Below are 12,098 nucleotides of genomic sequence, written 5' to 3' on the forward strand. Positions count from 1 at the left end.
TACATGAATTTTTAAAAGTTTTATTTTGATTTTAATTGACAAATAGTAATGTATATACATACGGGGTACAATGAGATGCATACATGTATACATTGTCGAATAATCAAATCAGGTTAATTAACATAGTCCTCACCTCCAATATTTATCATTTTTTGTATTGAGAACATTGACTATACTTTGTTATTTTGAAATACAGAATATAGTATTATTAACTACAAAACCACTGTCATAAGGTTAACAAGAACAGTATGCCAGGTTCCAGACTGAAATATAGTTAAGCATTAATCAGACAACATTCTGAGCAACTTCCCTTAGCTTCTCACTAATAAAAGTCAAGTTGCAATAAATACAGACCATTAACGCCCCATTGTTCCCAAATATAACACCTTCACCATTATGAGCATAAAACCTAATCTTTGAGATATTTACCAGATCCTGAATTCCAGTAGAATAGCTGACACCAACTTGTCTAAAGACCACCCCCCTCCCAAAGAACCGAGTCAACATAAGAAAGCAGTTTCTTCACCTCCCAGTCCCATGACTTCATCCTTCATTCTTCAACCAATCTCTCTCTCCATCCAAAACCACTTAAAATCTTTAACCCCAAAGTGCTTGGGGAGGTAGATATGAGGCTTCCTCCTGTCTTCTCATTTAATTGCCTTGGGATTAAATCTCTTTCTCTGCAGCAGCCCCCAGTGTCTTAGTGTATGCTGACTTACCATGTAATAGGCAATCAAGCCTGCCAGAAATACATCTATATAATAATGTCGCCATGCTATGCAACAGATCTCCAAAACTTAGTCCCCCTATCAGACTGACATTTTGTACCCTTTAACAATGCAGTCTCTGGTAACCAGCATTCTACTTGCTATTTCTGTGAATTTCATTTTTTTAGATTTTTCTTCCTAAGCTTAGAACAAGGGATTGCTGTGGCCATGGCAGAAGAAGTTTGCCTCTGTATACAGAGTTTCCCTCCACTGCAAAACTGCAGCCTCTGCCAGTTGCATCCACTGTCCTTATGAATAAACATACCTGGAAGTGTTCGTAGTATTTGCAACGAATTATACAAGATTTTGAAGCCCCCCCTCTCTTTCTCTTCCTTTTTTTTTTCTCTTTTGTGCCATCTTTAAATTTTTCATTTAGCACAATGCATGACTGTTGGGGCTCAATACATATTTGTTGCAAAAAGGGTAAAAAAAGGTGTTTCTTCTTTTCAATAGGAAAAATCGTAGTTTAAATCTCACAAGACCGTCTTCTAGTCAGACTCAAACTCACATCCACAGTCACCTCCTGTGGATGGAGAAAACGTGAACTTTATGTGTATGTCTCCTCATACATTGAATGGTGGTCCAGATTTCCAGCTTCTCGGGATCTGTGCACACAGGCTATTGTGTCCGGAGTTGGTTCCTGCTGGTGAGTCTGGCTGACTTCAAGAATGAAGCCACGGACCTTTGTGGAGAGTGTTACAGCTCTTAAAGATGGCACGGAGCGGCAGCAAGGATTACTGTGAAGAGCTAAAGGACAAAACTTCCATAGCATGGAAAGGGACCCTTGCGGGTTGCCACTGCTGGCTGGGGTGGCCAGCTTTTATTCCCTTATTGTCCCCACCCATGTTCCGCTTCTGTCCTATCAGAGTGCCCTTTTTTCAATCCTCCCCACGATTGGCTACTTTTAGAATCCTGCTGATTGGTGCATTTTACAGAGCACTGACTGGTGCGTTTTACAGAGCGCTGATTGGTGCATTTTACAATCCTCTTGTAAGAAGTCCCCACTCCACCCAGGAAGTCCAGCTGGCCTCACCTCTCACTATCAATGACTGAAATGATCATTAGTAGCAGTGGCTTTGGTTAAATGTATACCAGTAGTTACATACAGGGTAGAAAAATGGTCTGAAGAGGTATATTCAGCATCAAATGAAAAAATTACACCTTGTGACCCCTTTCTCTCCCTGTATGATCCCTTAAGATTGTGCTGAAACCTCGGAGCATCAGGTCAGCCTCATATTGCTCCTTCCTAAATCTTGGTCCCTGCTCAACCTGAGCCTATGTTTGGCCATCCACGGGCATCCATGTATACAACTTTGAAGGCAAAACTCCCTGCTTGGAGTGGCTCATTCGATGACCAGGGTCCAGATAGCATTGCCAAGGAGGCTCACAGATGGCTTCATACTGAGTCTCTCCCCTCAGCCTCCCAGCATCACCGGCCCTGAAGGAATGTCCCTGTTATCCGTGGCACCCAGAGCACAGTCAGCCCTGCCCTGACTTCACTGCCCAATTCACAGCCTCATCGCAGATTCCACTGCAAAATAGACAGTGTCAGATCTCAAAGACAGGCTGATTTGTAGTCCTGAAAAGCAACAACCCATCGTTCCCTCGATCTCTTTGGTGGAATTTCAAAGTTCGTCATAAGCTGAATTTCTGTACAAACATATTCTCTTAACAATGGAAACTATTTGCAATATGAGAAACATAAAACATGGGAAAAGTTTAAATCTCTCAAGAGCATCTTCTAGTCAGATTCATATTCAGCTTCCCTGATTCTGAACTTCCTGTCTTGCGGTCAGCTTCTTTTGGTCCATTTGTTTCACCCTTTCCAGCTCAGATCTTCTCTCCCTGGCTACCCTTAGTCTCAGGTTGTCCTTACGTTTGATAGGCTTCTACCTTATGGATGCTGTAAGGTTATCCTCTCATTTGCTGGATTCTTGTGGGAAAAAAAATCCCTCCAAGTTCACATCCTGAGACTTCACACTCCACTCTTCCTTGGAGAGCCATCCTCCATTTCCTGCAGGTCTGGTCAGAGCCCCTTTCATAGAAATGGAAACACTTACTTGAATTGGTTTCTGCAGAAGCCAGGCCAACCTCTAAAGTGCCTGATTTATGAAGTTTCTAACAGGAAGTCTGGGGTCTCAGGCAGGTTCAGCAGCAGTGGTTCAGGGACAGATTTCATATTGAAAATCAGCAGGGTAGAGGCTGAGGACGTTGGGGTTTATTACTGCCTGCAAGGTACACAAGTGCCTCCCACAGTGGTACAACCCTGAATACAAACCTCCCTGTTTGGAGTGGCCCAGCTGCTGAAATATGTTGTTTATCTGGGGAGTGGCACAACAGAATCTCTGCTGTATAAGATGAAGATGTTGGGCCGAGGTGGGCAGATCATGAGGTCAAAAGTTTGAGACCAGCCCGACCAACATGGTGAAACCCCATCTCTACTAAAAATACAAAAATTAGCTGGACGTGGTGGTGCACGCCTGTAATCCTAGTTACTCAGGAGGCTGAGGCAGGAGAATAGCTTGAACCCGGGAGATGGAGCCTGCAGTGAGCCAAGATCACACCACTGCACTACAGCCTGGATGACAGAGGGAGACTCCATCTCAAAAAAAAAAAAAAAAAAAAAGATGAAGATGTTGGCGAGCTCAGGGTAACAGGTTGCAGCTGAATGACCTGTCCCATGGGGGACTCCGCAGTACATCAGGTAAAACCCATTCATGGTCCTGTCAGCTCCCACAGCCTTGGCATGGCATAAGCCAAAGGAAAACAGAGATAATTCAAGTGCCTTCAGAGTAAGCAGACAGGACTGAGGGAGAGTGGAGGGAAATCTCACACTAATCCTCCCTGCCTTGCCTACATTCGACAATGAGACTTCAAATAGCTTAATAGCCAGACAAGTAACACAGATTCGTGTCAACATGTGTTGACTATCTCTTGAAGTTTAGGTCTTTTGTGTATATTTTTAAGAGGATAGTATTTGGTAGTATTTAGAAACTGGTATTTTTCAACTTTTCCAATTTCCTTCTTCTCCTTTTTACTAGTTCTCTTTCCATTGCAACACATAACAAATAGTGAAAAGAGCATTCTACACAAGCTGTCCTCAGGGAGAGCTGGCTGAGGACAATCATTAAAAAGCTTGAATTTGCACCTCCAAATAGACTTTTGTGACGTCATGGAAGACAGAAGATCCTGATGTTAAAACTCTTTCATTCATTTCAATTACTTCTTGCTAATAAAAAAGGATAATATTTGAAATTCCAAAAGTTGGATTTTAAAAACAAAAACTTAAACTGGAACAAGCAGATTATAGAATTTATCTTATATGCCACTAGAATAACACAGAATAATGTGAGGTTTTTTTTTCTTTACCAAAGGGTGAGAATTTTAAAACTGTGGGCAGACTCCAGGAATGAGAACATAAAAGAGAATATAGTAGAGGCCAACTACGGTCCAATAACCTGAACTTTGTCTTGTATTTGTTGCAGTTGTGGATGGTATTCTGTGATGTATATGTACCACATTTTCTTTATTCTGTCTACCACTGATGGGCATTTAGTTAATTCCATGTCTTTGCTGCAGTGAACATATGTGTGCATGTGTCTTTATGGTAGAACAATTTATATTCCTTTGGGTATACACTCTGTAATAGGATTGCTGAATCAAATGGTAGTTCTGTTTAAAATTCTTTGAGGAATCTCCAAACTGCTTTGCACCATGGCTGAACTAATTTACACTCCCACCAGCCGTGTATAAGCATTCTCCTTTCTCTGCAACCTCATCAACATTTGTTATTTTTTGACTTTTTAATAATAGCCATTCTGACTGGTGTGAGATGATACCTAATTGTGGTTTTAATTTGCGTTTTTCTAATGATTAGTGGTGTTGAGCATTTTTCATATGCTTGTTGACTATGTGCATGTTTTGTTTTAAGAAGAGTCTGTTCATGACATTTGGCCACTTTTTAATGGGGTTGTTTTTGTTTGTTGCTTGTTAATTTACGTTCATTACAGATTCTGGTTATTGGGTCTTTGTCGGGTGCATAGTTTACAAATATTTTCTCTCATTCTGTAGGCTGTCTGTTGACGCTGTTTATAGTTTCTTTAACTTGTGTAGAAGCTCTTTACTTTAATTAGGTCCCATTTATCAATTTTTGTTTTTGTTGCAGTTGCTTTTGGAGTTTTTGTCATGAAATTTTTACTATGGCCTTTGTCTAGAATGGTATTTCTTAGATTTTCTTCTAGTGTTTTTGAAGTTTTAGGTTTTACATTTAAGTCTTTAATCCATATTGAGTAGATTTTTGTATATGGTGAAAGGAAGGGGTCCAGTTTCAATCTTCTATATATGGCTGGCCAGTTATGCTAGCACCATTTATCAAATAGGGAGCCTTTTCTCTATTGCTACCTTTTGTCAACATTGTCAAGATCAGATGGTTATAATGTACAGCTTTAAGTCTGGGTTCTCTAAACTGTTACATTGATTTATGTGCCTATTTTTGTACCAGAACCATGCAATTTTGGTTACCGTAGCCTTGTAGTATATAGTTTGAAGTCAGGTAGTGCAATGCCTCTGGTTTTGTTCATTTTTGCTTAGGACGGCTTTGTCTATTTGGGCTCTTTTGTGGTTCCATATGAATTTTAGAATAGTTTTTCTACTTCTGTGAAAAATTTTGTTGATAGTTTGATATAAATAGCATTGAATCTGTAAATTGCTTTGGGCTATGTGATCATTTTAAGAATATTGATTCTTTCCATCCATGAGCATGAAGTATTTTTCCATTTGTTTTTGTCATCTCTGATTTCTTTCAGCAGTTTATTATAATTCTAGTTGTAGATATCTTTCAGCACCCTGGTTAACTGTATTCCTAAGTACTTTATTTTCTGTGGCTATTGTGAATGGGATTGCGTTCTTGATTTGGCTCTCAGCATAGACATTGTTGGTATATAGAAATGCTACTGATTTTTTACATTGATTTTATATCTTGAAACTTTGCTGAAGTGGTTTATTAGATCCAGGAACATTTGGGCAGTGAAGACAGGGTTTTCTAGGTATAAATTATATCAGATGCAAAGAGAGATAGACTGACTTCCTCTCCTCCTCTGGCTAGGACTTCTAGCCCTATGTTGAATAGGAGTGGTGAGAGTAATAAGCATCCTTGTCTTGTTCTGGTTCTTAGAGGAAGTTCTTCCAGCTTTTCACCATTCAGTATGATGTTGGCTGTGGGTTTGTCATATATAGGTCTTATAATTGTGAGGTATCTTCCTTCAATGTCTAGTTTGTTCAGGGCTTTTAAAATCAAGGGATGATGAATTTTATTTAAAGCCTTTTCTGCATCTGTTGAGATGATCATATGGTCTTTGTTTTTAGTTCCTTTCCTCTCAGATCCTGTCCTGAAAATCTAACGAGTCCTACTAATATAATAAGAAACAAATAACCACACATGCTCCCCCACATTGTGCTGTGAGAGCTGACCCCTAGGATCTCAGACATGCAGATCATATGAGACCTAATAAAGGGATTCTCACAAGAGATTTTCCACCTAAGAATTCTGGTGCTAGCTCTCCTCGCAGTAAAATGTTCTCTGCCTCTGGTCAAAATTGACACCAAATGATAACACAATGGAAATGTTTAGGAGAAGAAGGACAATCACACTTTTAGAAAGATAAAAGATATGCCTTATGCCTGTAACAGTTTCCTATTGCTAGGGCAACTAATTACCACAATTATACCGCATTCAGTATGATTTATTATCTATAATAAATCCTATCAAATTTATTATCTACAATTCTGGATTGAGAAGTCTTACTGAGCTAAAATTAAGGAGTCACTAGGGCTGTATTTCTTCCGGAGGCTCCAGGGGAGAAAATCGGATTTCTTGATTTTAATCTTCAAGATACCCTCATATTCCTGGCTCCATAACTCCTTCCTCCATCATTCCAGCACATCCATGCAGGAAAAAAAAAAAAAAAAAAAAAAAGATGCGAACTTACATTTAAATCTGCGTCTCTCTAGAATTTGATCCTGGCAAGCTGGATGTAAACAAGTTTCTCTAAAAAATCAGGCTCATGAAAGGCCACAGGAGGACGGTGCACAGGCTAGACTGCTGTGATTTGGCCTCTCCTAGTCTTGTGTGCGAATGTTCCCTGGAGTCCTCAGGCTCCAGTCTACTGATGCTGATACAATTTATTCCACTCCTTCTGTTGCTGAACCAGGCTGAGACAATCAGGGCCAAGTTAGATATGTAAAAAATCGGATTTCAAATCTTTGTCCAGTTTCATTAGAATCTAAAATACTTTTCCATATACGTAAGCAGTGGCTTGCCAGGAGATGAAGACTCTCCCTCCTACCAATCCCAACAGAGAAGCTGGAATCTGGGTCAGGATGATGTCCCCATTCATTGCTTAAGCGTAAAAGAGGAAAGTGGCATTGATGGTGCACAGCAGGAACATACACCCAACAGCTCAATGACCTGACCTTTCCCCGGTGCCTCCCCCTCACCTGCTCTCCAGAAAGCCGGGGTCTAGAAGAGCAGTTCCTGAGTTCACAGGAACATGCTAGTAGGGAGTACAGCTCAGAGCATTACTGAGGGAATATGATATTGGTCTCTACTGTCTCTACTAAAAATGCAAAAAATTAACCGGGCGTGGTGGCGGGCGCCTGTGGTCCCCAGCTGCTTGGGAGGCTGAGGCAGGAGAATGGCCTGAACCCGGGAGGCGGAGCTTGCAGTGAGCCGAGATCACGGGCCACTGTACTCCAGCCTGGGCGACACAGCAAGACTCCATCTCAAAAAAAAAAAAAAAATCTATATTCCATAGTTCCACCTTGACAGTGAATATACACAAATTTCATTCAGTTACACGCTTAATATTTGTGCCCTTTACTCTGGGGATTTTATCAACTAAAATCAAACTAATTTAAAAACCTAGATGCTAAAATAAATATGAAAATAATAAATAAGAATAACTGGCCAGGTGTGGTGGCACATGCCTGTAATCCCAGCACTTTGGGAGGTCGAGGCAGGAGGATCACTTGAAGTCAAGAGTTTGAGACCGGCCTGGCCAATATATGAAACCCCATCTCTACTAAAAATACAAAAATTAACCAGGTATGGTGGTGCATGCCAGTAATCCCAGCTAGCTCGGGAGGCTGAGGCAAGAGAATCGCTTTAACCTGGGAGGCAGAGGTTGCAGTGAGCCGAGATCCTGACACTGTACTCCAGTCTGGGTGACAGAGTAAGTGAAACTCTGTCTCAAAATATATACATATATATTTATACACAAAATAATATATATTTTTATATATAGATATATATATCAAAAATATATATATATTTATACATATATACATATGTGTATATATATGTATGTGTGTGTGTATATATATAATAAAATTAAACAAATAAGAATAACCAAATATTTATGGAAACTCAGCCTATTAAAGACAAGTGTAAAATGTGTCTGGGAAAGTGAAAACAATGTAGAAATCTCTTAGAGGAAATAGAAGAACATGATTAAATATGTCCCTTTTTCCACTCAGGCAGCACAAACTTTATTAGGTTCCCTCCAAACACAGAGGACACATTATGTCACTGTGCTCACACTAGATGTCCCCATACTCTCCTTGGCTCTTTCCACCCCACTGCACCCACCAGGGGATTTGCATACTGTCCCCTAGGGAGGACCTTCCATTGTGAGTCTGAGATAAAAGCTCAGCTGTAACCTTGCCTTGACTGATCAGAACTCCTCAGCTCACCTTCTCACAATAAGGTTCCCTGCTCAGCTCCTGGGGCTGCTAATGCTTTGGGTTCCTGGTAAGGACAGAAGGGAGATAAGGGAGGAGAATGGAGTGTGAGGGTGAGCTCTGGGGGCCCCACTGCCTGTCCACATGCACATCTTGACCTGCAAGAAAAGGTGTATAAAGTTTAGAACTGCAAGAGTCAGAAAGAGAAGATTCCTCACTCTTATAGTTCTAAACTTCATATCCTAGAAGGACAAAGGACTTGTGCTCTCATGAAGAGTGTCACACAGGAAGAGGATAATAGTGTAGGTGACTTCTTGAGTCTCTTTTGTGCCTTGTGAATGTTGGTTCTTTTTATGCCTGGATGTTTAGGGGTATGAACCAAAGTCACACAAAAAAATCACTTAGCATAAAGTAGATAACAGAAAGAATATCATTTCAATGGTTCCCAATATTTGTACATAACCTTGCACTTCTCTCACTACTTCAGGATCCAGTGGAGATATTGTGATGACCCAGACTCCACCCTCCCTGCCCGTCAACCCTGGAGAGCCGGCCTCCATCTCCTGCAGGTCTAGTCAAAGCCTCCTGCATAGTAATGGATATACCTATTTGCATTGGTACCCGCAGAAGCCAGGGCAATCTCCACAGCTCCTGATTTATAGGGTTTCCAGTCGTTTTTCTGGGGTCCCAGACAGGTTTAGTGGCAGTGGGTCAGGCAGTGATTTCACACTGAAAATCAGCTGGGTGGAGGCTGAGGATGTTGGGGTTTATTACTGCATGCAAGCTACACAGTTTCCTAACACAGTGGTACAACCCTGAACAGAAACCTCCCTTCTTGCTGTGGTTCAGCTGCCCAAATGTGTTGTTTATCTGGAAAGCAGACACTGTCGATTATCTTGGGAGAGTAAAGAGGAAGATGATGGAGAATTCAGGAGAATACATTACAGCTGAGGGCTCTTGACCATCAATATCTCGGTTACATCTCAGGTACCACAATTTAGTCCCCATCAGTTGCAAGAGTCTTGGCCTGGCAGAACTTGCAGGAGAATGGAGGGAGGTCAAGTGCCTCTGAACAACCAGTCATGTTGCAAGGGAAAGCTGAATCAAAGCTCATCGTAATCCTCTCTGCCTTGCCTAAGTTCATTCACTAACTAAATTCATTCAGCCTGACAGCCACCTAAATGAAACAGATTAGTGGCAATACAAAACTAATATATTTTTGGTTTTGATTTGGTTTAGCAGTTACTAGTGTACATGTACCTTGACAAGATTTGGTGATACTAAAACAGTTTCTCTCCCATCTTCTACCTTCCACTTTACACTTTTCTTAACATACATCTCTCTCTGGGACAGCAGGAAGCACAGCATTTTATCCTATTTTTTTTTCAGGGAGTGCTTGCGTGTATTTACATTCTAGACTTTGTAACTGCTAGATATGTTTTGGTAAGTTTATGCAAAAACAAAGACCTAGTGACAAAAATCTTTGAACAATCTTATTCACAGTATGTTGAAATGAAAAGAAAATTCTATGAAATCCAAAGCTGTGTTTTAAAAATAAATATCCAAGTTTCAAAAGACAAAAGAAAAAAGGACTAAAAATGTAGCCATAGTCAAAAATGTATGCCATATTCAATGGAATCTGGATTAATATAAAATAATATATAAGCTTATGTTTTGCCCCTTGAAAAATAATAATCTATAGACTTTGGGCAGAGGGCAGTAAATGAGAATGTGAGGGCAGCTGTTAACTATGTTAGTGGTGGTGTGTTGGAGTTGATATATGAACCCAAGTGAAAGCTCTGCTGTATTTCTTGGGGAGTTGTGGGAATCCTGCGTGGAGTTCAAAACTGTGCTCTGATGCAATGGCAAACTCCCAGGGAAGTATTGCATCACACAGTCTTTAGTGACTCCAAGTTTAGAGAAGTCCCTGTCCAAATGTACCTCAGGTCATATCACACATTCCTAGTCAATCCAGCAGGATGTAGAAGACCTTGGAAAAGTAGATTCTGCCCCCATCATTTACCTGGGAATGATTTGAGAAAGAAAGGATCATTCAAGAAAGCTTATAGTTAAAATAAAGATGATGCTGACCAGAGCAGTGCAGGGGCTGGGAAGATGAGTAGGAGGTGTAGTGGTGGGAGCCCAAAGCCCATATTTCAGACACACATAAAGGAAAATCAAGGCAGCATGGTAGGGGAGAACTCAGGAGAATGCAGGAGGTTTCATTGTGTCTCTCTAGCCAACCCACCCAGCTACCATTCTCAACCCAGGCCTCAGCAAATGTCCCAAAGAAAAATTCATCCTGGTGTTAAGGGCTCCACTTGTGCCATATAATCCATAATCTGTAAGGCACGTACATGCCTCTGCCAAAGGTGAGATGAATTCCCCACTCTTGTAGAGATCTTCTGCCTGGACCAAACCAGAATCTCCAATCACGCTCGTATTTGGCAAATTTCACTAAGACACAAAGTGACAGGAGGACACAAGGCAATATACAAAGGCATCTTTCCTCTGTGGAATTTTAGGCTATCTGTTCTTTATTTGTTCCACAACTCTCTGATGTTATAACAAACATGATTTTTTAAGTTCATTTTTGCTCTCCTGCATTTATTGCAATTCTTGTGTCCATCTTCTAAGGCCTATTCCTCACTACTTCACTACTGAAAATAAATTGTTCTATTAAATTACAAAGTGGGGATGTCACTTTGAATATTATATTGCAAAACATTCACATCTAGATCAATAAATGCACATGGCACATGGAAATGAAGGAGAAAAACAACTGCAGAAATGATAATGATCATGTCAGTGTTTAAAATATTTGATACTGAATACCAAACATGGAATACTGAATTCAGTATTCCAGTAACATATGCCTAAATTACACACATATATGCTTTAAATATACTACATTTACAATAGTACTTTAATATTATTTTGATCCATAAAAGGGCATATGTATTATTTCATCATGCTATAGTAGAAGTAGATGGTTTGAATTAAATCAAAATGATCCTGCTTTTGATTAAGGACATAAGCTATATGGCAGATGGCTGCCTATTCCAAGAAAATATATCCAATGGCAAGTATACTTAATATATCTATGTATTATCTTTGCTGAGTATGTAGTTGTATGGCAATATTTATATGTAAGAAAAACAACTCAAAAGGAACTCAATCCTTCCAAGGAAAATAAATATCAGTAAGTAATTTAACATCTTTGGGGCCTTTGAAAAGGAAAGAAAAAGATGAGGCAAAATGAATGTGCAAATAAATACTGTTTGTAAAACAACAAAATATTAGGCAGTTATATATCAGTAGTACTCTATAAAAGAAATGCTAAAGACAGTTCTGCAACAGAAGGAATGCAAGACTAAATAGAAACATAAAGATACATAAGAGATGGACACTGGAAAGGATATGTATAGGAATAAATACAAACTAATATTTGCGCACAACTATAGATGTCATGGTTTGTGAATTTTGCAATGCATATATAACTGAATTGCATGAAAAATAACACGAAAAAGTAGTGTAAATGGAATTAAAAAATCTAACTCTATTTTAGGAAGTGGTAAATTAATATTTGGTACT

The 12,098-nt window shown here is 39.8% G+C and overlaps 2 pseudogenes and 1 further gene, besides 2 other annotated features; all 3 read left to right on the forward strand.

Moving 5' to 3' along the window:
- Positions 1-12,098, forward strand: part of IGK (immunoglobulin kappa locus) — a 1,378,008-nt gene that overhangs the window by 1,186,696 nt on the left and 179,214 nt on the right.
- IGKV2D-19 (immunoglobulin kappa variable 2D-19 (pseudogene)) lies at positions 2,750-3,016 on the forward strand (annotated as a pseudogene). The gene is given in 1 exon segment: positions 2,750-3,016. A coding segment is annotated over 1 exon segment (267 nt).
- Positions 8,526-8,574: a sequence feature (IGKV2D-18 leader sequence).
- IGKV2D-18 (immunoglobulin kappa variable 2D-18 (pseudogene)) lies at positions 8,526-9,302 on the forward strand (annotated as a pseudogene). The gene is given in 2 exon segments: positions 8,526-8,574; positions 8,992-9,302. Coding segments are annotated over 2 exon segments (360 nt in total).
- Positions 8,992-9,002: a sequence feature (IGKV2D-18 leader sequence).

Source organism: Homo sapiens, chromosome 2, assembly GCF_000001405.40.
Source record: "Homo sapiens chromosome 2, GRCh38.p14 Primary Assembly".
Lineage (NCBI taxonomy): Eukaryota > Metazoa > Chordata > Mammalia > Primates > Hominidae > Homo > Homo sapiens.